The sequence below is a fragment of the Homo sapiens genome, chromosome 20, assembly GCF_000001405.40.
Source record: "Homo sapiens chromosome 20, GRCh38.p14 Primary Assembly".
NCBI classification, from domain to species: Eukaryota; Metazoa; Chordata; class Mammalia; order Primates; family Hominidae; genus Homo; species Homo sapiens.
This window is the reverse complement of record NC_000020.11, coordinates 34,869,797-34,887,892: the sequence shown is the minus strand read 5'-3', so window position 1 is coordinate 34,887,892 and position 18,096 is coordinate 34,869,797. Positions and strand designations below refer to the sequence as shown.

Sequence of the window (18,096 nt, the reverse complement as noted above, 5' to 3'; positions counted from 1 at the left end):
CGTCTTGTTGGCCAGGCTGATCTTGAACTCCTGACCTAAGGTGATCCGCCCGCCTCAGCCTCCCAAAGTGTTGGGATTACAGGCGTGAGCCACTATGCCTGGCCCAGGCTGTTTTTATGTAGATCTATTTGTTTTGTTTTATTTTGTTTTTGAGATGGAGTTTCGCTCTTGTCGCCCAGGGTGGAGTGCAATGGCACGATCTCGGCTCACTACAACCTCTGCCTCCTGGGTTCAAGCCATTCTCCTGCCTCAGCCTCCCAAGTAGCTGCAATTACAGGCACCTGCCACCACATCCAGCTGATTTTTGTATTTTTTAGTAGAGACAGGGTTTCACCATGTTGGCCAGGCTGGTCTCGAACTCCTGACCTCAGGTGATCCACCTGCCTTGGCTTCCCAAAGTGCTGGGATTACAGGCATGAGCCATTGTGCCCGGCCAATCTATTTGGTCTTTCCAAATAGAATGTAAATTCCATGAGACTAGGGTCTGGGACATTTAAACCTAATAACACATTTTATCTGGTATTTTAAAGTTAATTTAAATCAGTTTGGCTAATGTGGCTAATTTCTCTTTTTATCTGTCACAGCCAAGTGCTGGACTACTAGAATAATGAGGTAGTGTCACGAGTGAAAAAAAATAGTTGACTAGGAGTGAGAGTATCTGGAGATTAGTCTCAGTTCTGTCTTCAAACAGGTGTATGACCCTTAGGCAAATCACTTAGCTTCTTTGTCCCTTAATCTACCAATCTTTGAAGAGAGTTGGCCTAGATGGACTCTAACGGTCACTTCAAGTTCTAAAAATACTACTATTCCGTGAACATTTGCAATGTGTCAAGCCAAAAGTAAAAGGCCAAATTATTCCTTAATATGGTTCTATTTTGGATAATGGGAGTACTTTCCTAAGAGCACCATTTCCTTTGTGGATAATTTCAATGACTACACAATGTATGTTCCAAAACAAGAAACTAGCTACAAATGTGGCTTGTTAATGCCACCATAGCTGTCTAAATGACATAAAGTTAAGAAGAAAGCCATAATGTGTTTCTATAAGAAGTATATCAATTGGAGCGAATCACAGAAAAGATGTCATTTTTAAAAGCATTAGTAAGAATTAGAACAGAAAGAAGTGAGCTCCAAGAGGGAGAACTTTGGGAGGAAAAGGAGGATTTCATATGATAGTGAGATTGGAAAATATTAAATATATGATAAAGGCTTAAATAGTACAAAAAGAAAAACGGTAAGCAATTATTATTATTACTTTTATTGTTTTTTGAGACAGAGTCTTGCTCTGTCACCCAGGCTGGAGGGCAGTGGTGTGATCTTGGCTCACTGCAACCTCTGCCTCCCAGGTTCACGCGATTCTTCTGCCTCAGCCTCCCAAGTAGCTGGGACTGCAGGTGTGCACTACCATGCCCAGCTAATTTTTTTTTTGTATTTTTAGTAGAGATGAGGTTTCACTATTTTGGCCAGGCTTGTCTAGAACTCCTGACCTCAGGTGATCTGCCCGCCTCTGCTTCCCAAAGTGTTGGGATTACAGGTATAAGCCACTGCACCCAGCCCAGTAAGCAATTATTAACTTCAGAGTAAATAAAAATCCGTACATAAAAGGAAATATAACCACAGTATGCTATTCTTATGTAAACTGATTTTAAATTAACTAGAAAACAGCTATAATTATATTGAGAAGAAGAGAGAAGGAAGTTAGAGAGGTATATAAGAACTAAATTCTTATCTATCGTAGTAAGAAATCAATACTTTCTTTAAAAATGATGAAAAATAGCAGTATAAGCATATCATTTAAAAATATAGAGGCAACAAAGGGATGTAACCACATATCCGGCATATTTGCACTTTACTTTCTTATAATAAAATGCAATTTATTTGTATTTTGCTTTTGCTTTACTATAAACATAAAATAATTAAATAGTAATTGCCTATATGGTACTTGTCTCCTGCCTTTTTACCCCCATATCCATAATGCCTAATGCAGCCCTGAGTATCCAATATCTTTAACAATTCTTGTTGAGGGAGTGACCAATGTAAAAATGGAGTGAGGATGTCTTGTTTTTGAGTTACAGAATTTTGCACTGGAAGTAAATTTAGAGATTATTTAATCCAGTGCTTCCCCAGTGGGTGTTCCATGGAATACTGCTTCTTGTGATATCAATAGCATGCTGGCAAAAAGTGTTTGGGGCTTCAATAAATTCAGGAAATCCTATGTTAAACAAAATTAATCAGGTATCTCTAATATAGGACATCTTGGAGATTTTACTATGCTAATACACATTGGGAATCTCACACAAAGGCAATTTATTATGTAGTGTTTCTCAGACTCAATCATTTTATGAATTAAGAAGCCCCCTACTAATATCTCCAGTAATTAGCAGTTCCTGAAGCATTCTTTGGAAAATGCTGATCTAGTCTACTCCTCTCATTTTACAGATGGGGAAAGAGAGGCTCTCCAGAGCCTGTTCAGGTAAGGGTGGTAGGGGAACTGGTGTCTCTAGAAAGAAAGGGCCTCAGGATTCTGGAAAACTCTCCAGTGATTGAAAACTCTGGCCTGTGTATTCTGTTTTCCATTAGGCACCTGAGTTCTTTCAAACCAGGGAACAAATTCAGATACAAGCATTTCCTTTTATGATCTTTTTTTTCCTCTTTTTATTTTTCTTATTTTATTTTTATTACTATTACTTTTTGAGACAGGGTCTTGCTCTGTTGCCCAGGCTGGAGTACAGTGGTGTGATCTGTGCTCACTGCAACCTCCGCCTCCTGGGCTCAAGCAATCCTCCCACCACAGCCTTTCAAGTAGGTGGGACTACAGGCGTGCACCACCATGCCCAGCTAATTTTTGTCTTTTATGTAGAGAGGGAGTTTTGCCATGTTGCCCAGGCTGGTCTCGAACTCTTGAGCTCAAGCAATCCACCTGCCTTGGTCTCCCAAAGTGCTGGGATTACAGGCATGAGGCACCATGCCCAGCCTATTTCTTTCTTTTTTGTGAAATAGAGATGGGGGTCTCACTGTGTTGCCCAGGCTGGTCTCAAACTCCTAAGCTCAAGCAACCCTCTTGCCTCAGCCTCCCAAAGTGCTGGGATTACAGGCATGAGCCACCATGCCCGGCCTCCTTTGAAGATCTTTAAAGGTTTTCTGATCTTTAAAGAGCCTGGGAAATGAGCCCAAGTGTTGGCTGGAGCTCAAGCATAAAGCTCTAGAGCAGAAGCTAAAGAGAGTCTCAACAGACACAATGGACAGTGAATTTCAGTGACAAACTGGCCCCCAACTAAGCAATGGTAGTATAATAATAGACCACTCACACCTATACAGTGTTTTCCAATAAACAAATAAGTGCTTTTACAACGTTATCTCATTTGATTCTTACAACAATCTAGAGAGAAAAACAAGGATAGAATTATTATCCCCATTTTATGGAAGAGGAAACTGACTCTTAGTTAAATGCCTTGTCTGTGGTTATATAACATGTTAATGGCAGAGTTGAAAGGAGAACCTAAATTTCTTGTCTCTCAGGTTAAGGCTCTTCTCAATATATCACACAAACTGGGCAAAGATATTGAGTGAGTTTCAATTTAACTCTCCCATGAAGCATCCAAGCTGCTCCTATTGGCTAGCTTAAATAATTAATCAGGCCAGACATGGTGGCTCACACTAATCCCAGCACTTTGGGAGGCCAAGACAGGTGGATCGCTTGAGTTCAGGAGTTTGAGAACAGCCTGGGCAACATGGTGAAACCCCATCATTACAAAAAATACTAAATACAAAATACAAAAATTAGCCAAACGTGGTGGTGCATGTCTGTAGTCCCACCTACTCAGGAGGCTGAGGTGGCAGGATTGCTTGAGCAGGGGAGGCAGGGCAGAGGTTGCAGTAAGCCAAGATCATGCCGCTGCTCTCCAGGCTGGGCAACAGAGCAAGATCCTGTCTCCAAAAAAACAAAACAAAACAAAACAATACAAAAACAATAGATCAACTCTGAGTGCTCATAGATTGTGGCAGAAGCAACACCCCAATTATTGGAATTTCTAAGTCCTATTTGGATTCGGTATAGTAGTATCTCCTAGACAGCTAAATTCCTGGGAGAAGCAGTCTTAGAAATTTCCTGCTGGGGAGGCTGCATGGCCTAGTGGTACAAGCAAGGAGTCAGGCAGACTTGAATTTGAATCCTGGCTCTACCACTTATTCACTCTATGACCTTATTCACTACATAACCCTTCAATGCTTCATTTGTTCACCTATAAAATGAAACTAAGAATTCCTATTTTACAAACCTGTTGAGAGGCCAAGGTAAGGAATTAGAGGAATAATAGAGTGTCATGGTTGTGTGTAAGCTCTGTAATTATACTGCCTAGGTTTGAATCTCAGCCTTGCTTCTAGCTAGTTGTTTCACTTCAGATATGTCACTTGACTTCTCAGAATTTCAGTTTTCACCTATGTAAAATGAGGAAAACAAATAGTGCTTTCATAATTATTATAAGCATCAAAGGAGATAGTATTTGTTAAGCACTTAAGCATAGTTTCTGGCACACAGCTCTGTAAAAGATAATGATAATGGTAGTGGTAGTAGTGGTGGTGAAAAACCCAATACTATTTGTCTTCCAAAGCAAGAATGAGGAAGAAAGCTACTCAGTCTTGTTCTCTTCCATTTGCCAATGCCCTTTCTCCCTCTTCAACTACAAAGCCAAGAACACTAGACTAGAAGTCAGGACACTTGGCTTTGAATGTCAGCTCTGTCACATACTAGTTATGTGATCTGAAGGAAGTCATGTAGCTTCCTTGAGGTATTTTTCCTCACCTGAGGCATTAAGTTGATGACACTTTGCTTACTCTACTGGGTTGTTGTAAGTATCAAATGAGTGTTTTTATCTGCCACCAAGTATAAGATAGATATTTTTACCAGTAAAAAGCAACTTTATCTCCAAGCTTTTTCTCATGGACATTTCGATCCAGTACATTGTAGCAGATGTTGGTAGTTGCTCCTTTCATCCACTCAATGAAGATTTTCCCTTTAGTCACATCAAAGTTGTACCGAAGGAATGGGCCAGGGCATGGAGTCTTCCAGTAAAATTCCTTGGCAATGTCTCCCCAGAATTCTGCAACAGAAATGGAAGCCCAGATATCATTAATCTTCTGAGACATATTTAGCCTCAGAAGGCTTACCAGTCTATACACAGGACCAAATTATAACTTCCTTGCCCTAGGACCCACCACCTGGGTCCCTTCTTTACCTGTCTAATCTTAGCACCCACCACTTTTTTTTTTTTGGAGATGGAGGCTCACTGTGACACCTAGGCTGGAGTGCAGTGGCATGATCTCGGCTCACCACAACCTCTGCCTCCCCGGTTGAAGCAATTCTCCTGCCTCAGCCTCCCGAGTAGCTGGGACTACAGGCGCGTGCCACCACGCCTGGCTAATTTTTGTATTTTTAGTAGAGACGGGGTTTCACTATGTTGGCCAGGCTGGTCTCGAACTCCTGACCTCGTGATCCGCCCGCCTCGGACTCCCAAAGTGCTGGGATTACAGGCTTGAGCCACCGCGCCCGGCCAGCAGCCAACACTCTTCTAACCCATCTTCTATTCTCTTGGGCTGAATCTTGACTCAAATTCTTCCTCCTGTCCTCAAGACTGCCTACTCACTTTTTACCATCTATTAAAATCAGAGCCACCTAGTACTAGCACAATGCCTAGCACAAAATAGGCAATCAGTAATTTTTTGTTGCTGTTGCCCAGGCTTGTCTTAAACTCCTGGACTCAGCTGTCCTCCTGCCTCAGCCTCCCAAGAAGCTGGGATTATAGGTACACACCGAGTTCTGCTGAAATCAGGTACAATTTTTTTCACCATCTGTCTAACTAGAAAGTAAATTTTTTAATGAAGTAATTAGTAAAAAGAAAAAATTCTTCACCCACAGAACCTTCCATGACCAACTCTTTCTTCTCTTAATTCGTGCATTCTCTCTCAGCAATTATATATTGAGCATCTCCTTCTCCAGCTTCTACTTATATAAGTGTTATTCACTATGTGCCAAATGTTTCTTTAAGCTTTTCATATGTATTATCTCATTTAATCCTTACCACAACTCTAGAAGGGAGGCTTTTCTCATTTTATAAACTTGAAAATCAAGGCTCAGAGAGGTTAAATAACTTGTCTAAGGTTACACAATTACTAAGTCAAGATCTAAACTTCCTTGAGACATTTTTGCTAAAATCTGAAAGATGAATAGAAGTTTTTCTCCACTCCCATATGAAAAAAAGAGACCAAGGGCATATGTTAGGAGGAACTCCTTGAGGCTGAAACACTGAGAATAAGGGAAAGAATAGCAGGAATTGATGCATAAACTGGGCAAATCATGCAATTCTGTGTATAATAAGGAATTTGGTATATATCCCAAGAGCAATGAAAATTCATTGAAGGGTTTTAAGCAAGTAACATGATCAAATTTACATTCTTAAAATATCTGCCTGGCTATTCTGCAGAAAATGTACTCAACAGGTAAAACATATGAATGCAGAGAATTTAGGATAGTCTGAGTACTGAATCAAGAGTTAGAGGATGCCAGGCACTGTGGCTCACTCCTGTAATCCTAGCACTTTGGGAGGCCAAGGCGGGCGGATCACCTGAAATCAGGAGTTCGAGACCAGCCTGACCAACATGGTGAAATCCTGTCTCTACTAAAAATACAAAAAAAAAAAAAAAATTGCCAGGTGTGGTAGCGGGTGCTTGTATTCCTAGCTACTCAGGAGCGTGAGGCAGGAGAATCGCCTGAACCTGGGAGGTGGAGGTTGCAGTGAGTTGAGATTGCACCACTGTACTCCAGCCTAGGCAACAGAACAAGACTCTATCTCAAAAAAAAAAAAAAAAAAAAAAAAAAATTTGGAGGAAAGAGAAGCAATTAGAACCGTAACAATGGAAGTAACCTTACAGATTATCACCCCCTCATTTCATTTCATAAGAAATAAAATTCATAGAAGCTAAGTCATTTGTTTCAGGTTACACAATTTAGAGCTTATACAATCTAGTTGGAGAGATAAGATTAACACATGAAATATTTTTTAATGTACAAGACAGAATATAATTGAAAGCTAAATCACATAGTGTACAACGTTGTAATGTATTAAAGAAATCCAAATTAAATCAACCCCAAGGTGCCATTATATACCTAGAAAACTAGTAAAAATTTAAAAAAATTATTAAGCCCAATGTCTGGGTGGCCCTGGGAAAACAGATACTCTTACACAATAATGGCATTGTAAGAAATTGGCGCAGTCTTATTAGATTGCAAGGCAATGCATGACAAGAGCCATAAAACTTTTTTTTTTTAATTTCTATTATTATTATTTTTTTAGCTCGGTGTCTCGCTCTTTGTCACCCAGGCTGGAGTGCAGTAGCATGATCTCAGCTCACTGTAACCTCCATCTCCCTGGCTCAAGTGATCCCCCCATCTCAGCTGTACCCCCTCCCCCACCAGTAGCTGGAACTACAGGCGCACATTGTTTGTTTGTTTTGTAGAAACAGGGTTTGGCCATATTACCCAGGCTGTTCTTAAACTCCTAAGCTCAAGCTTTGGGAGCCCACCTTGCCCTCCCAAAGGATGCTGGGATTATAGGTGTGGGCCACCACGCCCAGCCCATAAAACTTTTTATACCCTTTTCTCTGCTATCTCAACTATAGGGAATAGACTTCAAGAAAATAATCACAAAGAAAAAAAGTGATTAGTAAAGAGATGTTTATAGCAACACTATAATAGTGAAACTGGAAACAACCCAATAGCCCAACAATAACAAACTGATGAAAACTAGTAATACAAGTAGTAATACCATAGAATAATAAATGGCCATTAAAGAGAAAGCAAATGAGAGCTAGTATTTAGTAAATGCCATTCATGTATCAGGGACTGGACTAATCTCATTTAATCTTTATGACATTATGGTCTTACAAAGTATACATTAATTATCCTAATTTTATAGATGAGAAAACTGAAGCTCAGGAAGCACAGGAAACTCTGCCAAGGACCACGCAGCTAATAACGAGAGTACAAATACTCAAAAATATTTTCAAGTGATAATAGTAGGCATATAGTATATAAAACTATTTATAAACCACATTTATGTCCATCAACAAAGAATGAAGAAAGCTGAGGTGTTTTTGTTTTTGTTTTGAGACAGGGTATCGCTGTGTCGCCCAGGCTGGAGTGCAGTGGCACAATCTTGGCTCACTGCAATCTCCGTCTCCCGGGTTCAAGCAATTCTCGTGCCTTAGCCTCCTGAGTAGCAGGATTACAGACGTGCGTCACCATGTTTGGCTACAAAACTGAATTTTATGCACACTTAGTTTTTCTGGGTTTTTTTGGGGGGGGTAGGGGTGTGTGTGTGTGTGTGTGTGTGTGTGTGTGTCAGAATCTGGATGAGTGGCATAGTTTCTAAGTACTAAAGATATTCAGAAGAGGAAAAAGGTGAGCATAAATTGGGATGATCAGTGAATGCTCTATTGGAAGTGGTGGAGTTTGACTAGGTAGAGAGAAGCAGAAGGAAATGAACAAAGGCAAGAAGGTGGGAATAAATGTGTATCCAGGATATCAAGGAGAATGATCTATCTAGAATGAGGGGAGTGGTAGCAAGTAGTGGGAGATAAGAATAGAGAGGCAGGGTGGAGCTAGATTATCTGGAGGTCTTAAAAGAAAAGCAGAGGCCGGGCGCGGTGGCTCACGCCTGTAATCCCAGCACTTTGGGAGGCCGAGGCGGGCGGATCACGAGGTCAGGAGATCGAGACCATCCTGGCTAACACGGTGAAAGCCCGTCTCTACTAAAAATACAAAAAATTAGCCGGGCGTGGTAGCGGGCGCCTGTAGTCCCAGCTACTCGGGAGGCTGAGGCAGGAGAATGGCGTGAACCCGGGAGGCGGAGCTTGCAGTGAGCCGAGATCGCGCCACTGCACTCCAGCCTGGGCGACAGAGCGAGACTCCGTCTCAAAAAAAAAAGAAAAAAAAAAAAAAAAGAAAAGCAGAATTTTAATTAGAAACTGCCAGAAACAGGGAACCATTGAAAGTTTTTGCAGTGACATATGAAAGCATATTTCCATAATATCAATCTAATGGTGTCTTGATAAATCTACTGGAAAGACTCAAGTTGGCGAAACTAGGCAAGAGAGGACAAATTAGGAGGCTGCTTCCCTGGTAGAAATTCTGTATTTGATGGAATTTGGTGAAATGCATTCTGTGGGGTCATGGAAGAGGAATAGCATTGCTATTAGGATATGGATTCTGCAGTCAAACTGTCTTGGTTCAAATCCCAACTCCACCACTTTACACTTGATTGAATCCTGTCTTGCATTACTTGGTAATTGCTTGATTTATATTGTATCAGACTAACTACTATTTATTGAATGTGTACTGTGCATCAGGCATGTTATAGCGCATACTTATTACACACTTTAGACCTCATACAAACCCATTAGGCAAGTATTACTAGACCTATCTTATAGATGGAAGAAAAGGAATCTCAGACAGGCTTAAAAATTTGCCTAAGACCCCACAGTAAATGAACAGCAGAGCCAGGGTCTAAATCTAGATTTTTCTGGATTTGATTCGTGGCCCATGTTTGTCCCACAACCAAACATCATGCTGCCTCCCAATGGGGGTGCAATTTTGACTCCTTGGCTAGGCGCAGTAGCTCATGCACATGTAATCACAGCACTTTGGGAGGCCAAGTAAGGAGGAAAGCCTGAGGCCAGGAGTTCAAGACCAGCCTGGGCAACATGGCAAAACCTCGTCTCTCCAAAAAATACAAAAAAGTAGCTGGGTGTCATGGCGTCCGCCTGTAGTCCCAGCTACCCAGGAGGCTGAAGCGGAAAGATCGCATGAGCCCAGGAGATGCAGGCTATAGTGAGCCTAGAACGGGCCACTGCACTCCAGCATGGGTGACAGAGCAACACCTTGTCTCAAAACAAACTATCTATCTATCTATCTATCTATCTATCTATCTGTCTATCTATCTGTCCTTTACCCAGACTGAGGGCAAGGGTAGGGGGATTTTCCTTATACCTTTTTTTTTTTTTTTTTTTTTTTTTTTTTTTGAGACAAAGTCTTGCTCTGTCGCCCAGGCTGGAGTGCAGTGGTGCTATCGTGGCTCACTGCAACCTCTGCCTCCTGGGTTCAAGCAATTCTCCTGTCTCAGCCTCTCGAGTAGCTGGGATTACAGGTGCCCGCCACCACACCCGGCTAATTTTTGTATTTTTAGTGGAGACGGGGGTTTCACCATGTTGGCCAGGCTGGTCTCGAACTCCTGACCTCAAGTGATCCGCCCGCCTCGGCCTCCCAAAGTGCTGGGATTACAGGCGTGAGCCACTGCTCCTGGCCGATTTTCCTCATACATTTTAACAGACATGGAACCATCTATCAGAACTTCTGAACTATTACTAATACAATCCCAGCCCAAGTTAAAAAAATAAATAAAACAACTTGACATCGTAGTAACTCGTTCAGTCTTATACCGCGTAATTTCCATTAGGATGTCCGATATACTAAAAATAGATCGGGGACTCCATTACTAATCTGAGGACCCCAAGATGGGAACCAGACCCGTTATTGCCCTCAACAGTTCACAGGTTAAGGGTCTCAGGAGGCAGTGGCTGAGCTGGTGTGAAAGGGAAGCAAAGAAAGTTCTATTCGTGGCCCTCCTCCCTTCAAGGCTCCCGTCGCCCCTTAGAGACCCTCTTTTCGCCTCAGGAACTCCCCTTCTCTTCCCATGAAACTTTCACTCTCTTGGCCGACCTCCCCGTCCCAATCTCAAGGAACCTCACTTCTTCCCTCACGGAATCCCGCGTCTCCTCGCAAAAACCCGCATCTCCACCACGGACCCTCCAAGTCTGCAGGGAACTCCCCAGCTCCCATGGAACCCTCGTCTCCTCCCGGAATCCCTTTTCCATTTTCAAAGAACCGCAATTCTTCCTTCACAGAACCTCCATCTCCTCACCCACCCCTCAGCTTCCCAAGGGAGCCCCCGACTCCCCCAGGGAGCCCCCACTCTTCTCCTCACTGACACCCCAGGCCCGCCCGGGCCGGGCCTCACCCCGCGGCTCCTCCACGGAGCGCCGGTGCAGCTCGCGGTAGCGCTGCAGCGAGGGGACGTGCGCGGAGCGGCTGACCTCGGGCGGCGGAGACCAACTCCGCGCCCGGCCTCCGGCTCCAGCTTCCTCCTGGCCCCGGCTCCCGCTGCCGCTCCGGACCCGCTCCTCAGGAAGCCCCATCACGTCAAGTTCCTAGAACCGCGGCCGCCTTTGCGGTCGCGGCGGGTGCCGGGACTGAGAAAACAGGCCGAACTAGAGGCGGGGCCTCCGTAGAGGGGCGGGGCCTGGTGAGTGGGGGAGTGGCTTAGTCTGGCGGGTGGGCGGTGCCAGAGGGGGCGGGGCCGTGTCTGGTTGGGGAGGGATCGAGGTTGGCAAGGACAGAAATACTATAAGGAAAAGTCGAGGGATAGGGGTGGAGCTGACTTGCCGGAAGGAGTGACGCCGTCGAGTGAAAGCAGAAGGGGCGGGGCCGGGTGTGACAAGGGAGAGGGTGGAACCGTGGAGTGCCAAGGGAGGGGCGGGGCCAGGCGGGACAGGAGAGGAGGTGGGCCCATGGAGTGATGGGGAGTAACCCGGCTGGTTGTGACAGGAGAGGAGGCAGAGCCATGGAGTGACCAGAGTGGGGTGGGGTCTTGGAGTGACAGATAAGGGGTTGGGTTAAGGCAAGGATCGAAAGGGAAAGGGATGGACTAAGGAGAGGAGTTGAGTAAGGTCCATCGCGGAGCCGCCCCGTGATCTGATTGCACAGTCCTGACTATCACCAGTTCCTTCCAGGTGACACCCTTCCCTCCAGGTCCCCCCTCTCTGAGCCACACCCACATTCTCGTCCTCCGGAAAAACTTCTCCCATGACCTTGAGGGCATGCTCTGGCGACAGCACCTCCTCTCTGCTCACCCTGGAACCAGCTCAGATTTTCTCCCTCTTATGAGGACATGTCTTCAATCTCCTTGCCTTCACAAATCTCCATCCAGATCTAAAGTACAAGACTCAATAAGTGAAGACTAGGAGACACCTTCAGGTTTTTTGTAATAAGCCCACCTCCTAATTGCACAAATGGCAAACCCAGGAAAGGGAAGGAACTGGTGCACAGTCAGAGAGCAAATAACGACCAAGTTAGGGCCAAAGCTAGGTTCTTTGACTCCAGATTTGGTTTTACTTCCTCGTCAGGCTTGAAGCTAAGGCTTGTAAAATATCAAAGTCTGTGCAAATAGGAAAAATCATTCACATTCTCTTTTTTTGTTGTTGTTTTTGTTTTGAGATGGAGTCTCTCGCTCTGTCGCCCAGGCTGGAGTGCAATGGCACAATCTCGGCTGACTGCAACCTCTGCCTCCTGGATTCAAGCAATTCTCCTGCCTCAGCCTCCCGAGTAGCTGGAATTACAGGTGCACACCACCACACCCAGCTAATTTTTGTATTTTTAGTAGAGATGGGATTTCACCATGTTGTCCAGGCTGGTCTTGAACTCCTGACCTCAGGTGATCTGCCCGCCTTGGGCTCCCAAAGTGCTAGGATTACAGGCGTGAGCCACCACACCTGGCCCACATTCTCTTCTTTCCTTCACAATCTCTTTACTCCACCAAGGGAAACCCCCACCACCACCACCACAACCTGGGCTTAATTACCTCTAGCTTCTCTCTAGCCCCTCCACCCCAGAAAGAAGTCAGGCAGGACCCTCCTCCATCTCTCACCTGCACTCACCACAAAGAAGTGCCCACCTCACCATCATTTCACAGACTGGCTGTCAAGGCAGGAAGGATTCTTAAATATCTAACTCCAAGAGTGATTCTGAGGCCTGAAGCGGGCAGCTCCCACCTCCTGAAGCCTACACAGGCCTTGTGACCCCATCTAGCCCAGCCTCCCTTCCCAGCTACTTCCCTGCACTTTGCCCAGCTGACTGTAAACCTTGCACACCCTAAGCTGAAAAAAAATCTCTCTATGGGAGACCGAGAGTCTGCCCAATCCCAAGGAGGGCGGGAATCTGAGGGCCCACTGAAGGAGTACAGACCTCTTGGGGTGGACATAGACCCCACCAAGGGGTCAGATACTTTCATAAAGGAGATATTCACTGCACCGAAGGGACACACACTTCACTGACAGTACATGGACTCCACTAAGGGAGCACAGATGTTGCTGGGGGTTCTCAGATCTGACTGAAGGGCCCTGGGCCCTGCTAATAGGACATGAATGGCTTTGAAGGGCACTTACCCTAGTGAGGAGACATGGATTTCCCCTAAGAGATACAGAGGATATAGACTTTACTAAGGAGACGTGGACCCTACCAGAGGACTCAAACTCCAGTGAGGAGCTGCCAACTACACTGTGGGAGTGGACATCACTGAGAAGGTGCAGACCTCATCAAGTGGGGAAGGGTCCCACCAGAGGGATTAGACCTCAGGGTAGTGTAATAGACCCTACAAACATCACTGAGGAGATAAGAACTCTCTGGGGTGGGGAAAGGCACAGACAATGGGTACACTTTTTGGTGATAGACTGTTACCCTCCCTGGGCACTCTTACCACACAGCTCTGAGTAGCCCTCTCCTTCCTATCCTCTCTCCCAAGTCCTACACCCAAACCCCAGAGCTGTTCCCGACACACTGCTTCCCCCTCCTGTCTATAGTTGCTACTGCAGCTGCTGTGTATATAGTAGATTTTTCAAGCACTTCAGGCCATCCCTGAGACTGGTCTGGGGTTGGGAAGAGAAAGGATGTGTGTATAGAGGCTTCACCAGCCCCCCTCTCTTCCTGTGGACTTCACAATGAAAGTTTGGAACAGAGACCTCGTAAAAGAAGGAACCTCCCTCATCCTTGGATATGGAGAAGTAGTACAAGCTGTAGTGTGGTTGGAATTTTGGAGTGGAGAGAGGATGGATGAGTTTGGAGGGAATGAATCTACCAGATTAAGGCAATGATGATGATGATGATGATGCCATTTATTGAGTAGGTGCCAAGCCCTATACTAATCGCTTTCCATTCTGTTACTTAATCCTCATGACAACCCTCTAAAATGGGTACTATTATTCTTTCCATTTCACAGATGGGGAAACTGATAGAGAGACTAATTGTCTTGCCCAAGATTACACAGTGTTTGAGCGGTGGCAGAATAGAACCCAGACATCCAGAATATGGAGACCTATTCCCCACCTTGCCCCACTCCTGCCCTACCATCACTACCACCACTCCTTCTTTCTCAAAGTGTCCTTTCCAGAACCACATCAAAAACTCTTAAAATGATGGTAAATATTCAGGTTCCAAGGACCTCATCCCAGCCTACTGAATCATGATCTCTGGAGTGGAATCTGGGGATCCGCTTTCAAAGATCCTAACACACACTAAAGTTTGAGAATGCGGTTGAAAGAGGAGTCAGAAGTGTCGGGGTGCGGGAAGGGATCTGAGGTCAGAGGAGGGATCTGTTGTCCAAAGAGGCGTCTGCAGTCAAAGAGGCCTGGAGATGAAGCATGGGCTGGGGTTTTCAAAAGGGTTTGGGGGTGAAGACAGAGTCTGAAGTCGAAAAAGAGGTCTAAGGTCGGAGGAGGAGTCTAAAATCGGAGGAGGAGGATCTCGGAATTCAAGGAGGGGTCTGGGGTCCGAGGAGTTTGGGGTCAGAGACAGGATCTGGGGTCGAGAGGGATTTGCGGTCAGTGAAAGGGTCTGGGGCCCGAAAAGGAAGCCTGGGATTTGAGGAGGACACTAGCTGTATTCAGGCTGGAAGGAGGAAGGGGTTTGGTCCCTGAGCTGCGTAAAGTGCAGAGCCACTGAAGTCTCGCTTGCCCCGCGCTCTCCCCTCGACCCTGCGCTGCCTTCCTGGCTGTCCATCTACACGCACCTGTGTGCCAGCTGCAGGCTGATAGCGCTGAGCAGACGGGGGCGAGTCAGACCGGGACACGGCCGAGGGCTGGGAGAGGCGCCCCCTCCCGGCTGTCGCGAAGATCAGGCCCCGCCCTCCGCCCTCCCACTCCCCCGCCGCAGCCACTTCCGGCAGGCGCTGCGCTGCTGGGGGGCGCGGGCGAGGATGGCGGCGGAGAACGAGGCCAGCCAGGAGAGCGCCCTGGGCGCCTACTCGCCAGTGGACTACATGAGCATCACCAGCTTCCCGCGGCTGCCCGAGGACGAGCCGGCGCCCGCGGCCCCGCTGAGGGGCCGCAAGGACGAGGACGCCTTTCTGGGAGACCCCGACACCGGTGAGGCCCGCTGACCCCGTCCCTGCCCTGCCTTGGGAAGTCCCCGGTCTTCCTTCTTCTGTGTCAAGCATCCACCTCCAGCTCCATCTCCTTAATTCATCCCCATCTTCTTGGATCTCTCCCTTCTTCTCCCTTGTCTCTGTTAATTATTTGGTGAGGAAGGGGGTGCATTTCTGCCTTGGAGGCGTAGGATGCGACAACGGAGAGGATGCTAGGGACTGCAGTAGAAGGGATTGGGCTTACCTTCTGGGAAGAACCAACTAACGATGAAGGAATGTTGAAGGGGAGATCCTAAGGAACCGCTGTGATCACCCAGAAGAGGGCTTTCTCTAGCCACAGAGGACAGGATAGGAGAAACCAAGTCAGAGACTGCAGCAAGAGGGATCCAATCTGTGCCTTAAGAGAAGTTCCCCACAGCCAGGGATTGTGAGAAGCAGAGGGTCTGGGAGAAGCGGAGAATCTCTTCATGTCTAGGGAGGGGTAAAGAGAATATGATTCCCCTCTGTTGGGTGTTGGGAGACGGAGGCATGGACTGCATGACCTCTCAAAAGTCCTTGGGGACTAGAACGCCTTCACTCTCCTGTGGATTACCCCACCCCTCCCTGAGCCATGGATCTGGCCGGGGTATTAGTAAGGTACTCTGCTCCCTAGGAAGCAGTCTCCAGAATTTTACTGTGTTCCCCTCAGCCCTCTGCTGGAATTGTGAGAAGTGGGGGTAAGAGAAGGAGGAGACAGGGATTGGAAGAGACCTGGGGGCAAAGAGCTCTCTGTGCATTCCTTCCCTGCTGCTCTTCCTCCTAGCCATGTGGCCCAGCTTCATCCTCCCCTCCATTCTTCATCCTTCATCCCCCATCCCTCTGTCCCTGCACGTCACTTCCTGGCATTAGAGCATCCTTCTACCTCACTCTCGCTTCCTCGCAGTGCCTGCACTTGAGCCTTGTCTCTTACCAGCCTGGCAGATGCTGCTTTTCCGGCTTGGCCCTTCCCTAGCTGCTCCCAGCCTGAAAGCCCCAAATTCTCTCCTCCTCTACACTTTCTGGTCATCTGGCCCTGACCAGCAGCCCTTGCCAACCTGACTGGACTGCACTCTGTATGGGGTGGGGGTGAGGAGATAATGAAGATGGAGTTTAGAGGTTTATGGGCGTCAAATGTCAGGGCTGCGGATCAAAACTTATTTTCCAAAGGGAGTGGAATCAGGAGGTAGCAGGGAGAGGAGTGGGAAGATGTGTCATGATGGATATCAGCCTGAAGCTAGGCCTTTTATTCAGTAGTCAGGAGTGAGACTTCTGGTCCTAATACAGCCCTGACTCACCAAGCGACAACAGGCACACCTACCCTGTCCTGGGCCTTAGTTTCCTCTTCCAGCTCAACAGAGAATGCCTGTCTCTCTTGACCTAGAGATTGGAACTGCCTGACATGTTTTCTTCTGGCCCTCTGTAAATGTCTTAGCATTTACCAAAATCTATGATTATTTATTTGTGCAATTATCTGATTACTCCCTGTCTGTAAGCCCCATGAGGGCAGGGATCATGATTGTTTTGTTCACTCTCCTTTCTCCAGCATCAAGACCTTATCCATAGGCCGGGCGCGGTGGCTCATGCCTGAGGTGGGTGGATCACTTGAGGTCAGGAGTTCAAGACCTGCCTGGCCAACATGGTGAAACCCCATCTCTACTAAAAATACAAAAATTAGCTGGGCATGGTGGTGGGTGCCTGTAATCCTAGCTACTCGGGAGGCTGAGGCAGGAGAATCACTCGAACTGGGGAGGCAGAGGTTACAGTGAGCCGAGATCACTCCACTGCACTCCAGCCTGGGTGACAGAGTGAGACTCAGTCTCAAAAAGAAACAAAAAACAAAAAACAAAACAAAATACACTGGCCGGTGTGGTGGCTCACACCTGTAATCCCAGCACTTTGGGATGCTGAGGCGGGTGGATCACCTGAGGTCAGGAGTTCAAAAACAGCCTGGCCAACATGACAAAACCCCATCTCTACTAAAAATACAAAAAAAAAAAATTAGCCAGGCCTGGTGGCAGGTGTCTGTAACCCCAGCTACTCAGGAGGCTGAGGCAGAGGTTGCAGTGAGCGAAGATCGCGCCATTGCACTCCAGCCTGGGCAACAGAGTGAGACTCTGTCTCAAAAAAACAAACAAACAACAACAACAAAAAAAACCCTCATCTCTATTTATTTATTGGGCACTCAATAATTGTTGAATGAATAAATGCATGAGAGAGAAGATCTCAGGATGAAAGAATGGTAGGAGAGAGGATGAAAGAATGGTAGGAGAGAGCAAGTTCCAAAACCTCAGGGAGTATTTTGGGAAGTTCAATACAGGCTCTGCCCTCACCCCTGTATGGAAATCCAGCAGAGATCCTAGTCATCTGAGCTTCTGGGAGTTTATACCTTATGCCAAATTTATGTGTCAGGTTTGTGTGTTGCCATCATTTCAGTGTAATCATTTGAATGCCATATCTCCCAATCCTACTTCCAAGCCCCAAGGCTTCCTCGGTTCACCTGGACCAGACTACAGGCTGACATGGCCTCCTGTGTTCTCAACCTGGTGGTACCATCTAGTGGCACAGCACCATCCTCTTAGCCAGGACCTTGGTTGTGCCCAGCTAGCCTCTAGCCTGCCATTCCCTAAACCCAAGTGCCAGGCACCCCACATCAGGCTCTGTGGGAAAGAGAGCTAGACAGTGATCATTCCAAGGTTGGGAAATACTTTCTTTCTTCTGAGCTCCAAGCCCTTGTGTTCCTTTCTCTCCCAGGCCTGTGTCTCCAGATGTCCTGCAAGTGCCTCATCTATAGCATGTTCTATTTTGAACTCATCATATCCCTTCCCCATGCACC

At 46.5% G+C, this 18,096-nt stretch overlaps 2 protein-coding genes across 20 annotated transcripts in view, besides 5 other annotated features; one reads left to right on the top strand and one right to left on the bottom strand.

The window, feature by feature from the left end:
• The window catches only part of ACSS2 (acyl-CoA synthetase short chain family member 2), a 52,971-nt gene extending 40,067 nt beyond the window's left edge, over window positions 1-12,904 (bottom strand). For 8 of the 13 annotated variants that reach the window (XM_011528905.2, XM_011528906.2, XM_011528907.2 and 5 more), the window contains exons 1-2: window positions 11,070-11,281; window positions 4,904-5,099 (exon numbers count right to left, since the gene is read on the bottom strand). In XM_011528905.2, the coding sequence (XP_011527207.1) occupies window positions 4,904-5,099; window positions 11,070-11,247 (374 nt within the window). In that variant the 5' untranslated portion in view covers window positions 11,248-11,281. Of the gene's footprint in view, window positions 1-4,903; window positions 5,100-11,069; window positions 11,282-12,755 lie in introns of those variants that run through there. The other 5 variants (XM_011528909.3, XM_011528911.2, XM_047440293.1 and 2 more) reach the window with 2 other exon arrangements.
• Window positions 10,993-11,422: a silencer, noted in NCBI's record as "silent region_12851". NCBI's record gives its function as "represses an Ori minimal core promoter by ATAC-STARR-seq in GM12878 lymphoblastoid cells {active_cell/tissue: GM12878}" and the evidence as "EXISTENCE:reporter gene assay evidence [ECO:0000049][PMID:35858748]".
• Window positions 11,503-11,642: a silencer, noted in NCBI's record as "silent region_12850". NCBI's record gives its function as "represses an Ori minimal core promoter by ATAC-STARR-seq in GM12878 lymphoblastoid cells {active_cell/tissue: GM12878}" and the evidence as "EXISTENCE:reporter gene assay evidence [ECO:0000049][PMID:35858748]".
• Window positions 11,913-11,962: an enhancer, noted in NCBI's record as "active region_17769". NCBI's record gives its function as "activates an Ori minimal core promoter by ATAC-STARR-seq in GM12878 lymphoblastoid cells {active_cell/tissue: GM12878}" and the evidence as "EXISTENCE:reporter gene assay evidence [ECO:0000049][PMID:35858748]".
• Window positions 11,983-12,062: an enhancer, noted in NCBI's record as "active region_17768". NCBI's record gives its function as "activates an Ori minimal core promoter by ATAC-STARR-seq in GM12878 lymphoblastoid cells {active_cell/tissue: GM12878}" and the evidence as "EXISTENCE:reporter gene assay evidence [ECO:0000049][PMID:35858748]".
• Window positions 14,866-15,155: a silencer, noted in NCBI's record as "silent region_12849". NCBI's record gives its function as "represses an Ori minimal core promoter by ATAC-STARR-seq in GM12878 lymphoblastoid cells {active_cell/tissue: GM12878}" and the evidence as "EXISTENCE:reporter gene assay evidence [ECO:0000049][PMID:35858748]".
• The window catches only part of GGT7 (gamma-glutamyltransferase 7), a 28,137-nt gene continuing 25,077 nt past the window's right edge, over window positions 15,037-18,096 (top strand). For all 7 annotated transcript variants that reach the window (XR_001754240.2, NM_001351702.2, NM_178026.3 and 4 more), the window contains exon 1: window positions 15,037-15,246. Coding sequence is in view for 6 of the 7 variants with exons in the window: in NM_001351702.2 (NP_001338631.1) it covers window positions 15,078-15,246 (169 nt within the window). In the remaining variant the exon portion in view is untranslated. The remainder of the gene's footprint in view (window positions 15,247-18,096) is intronic.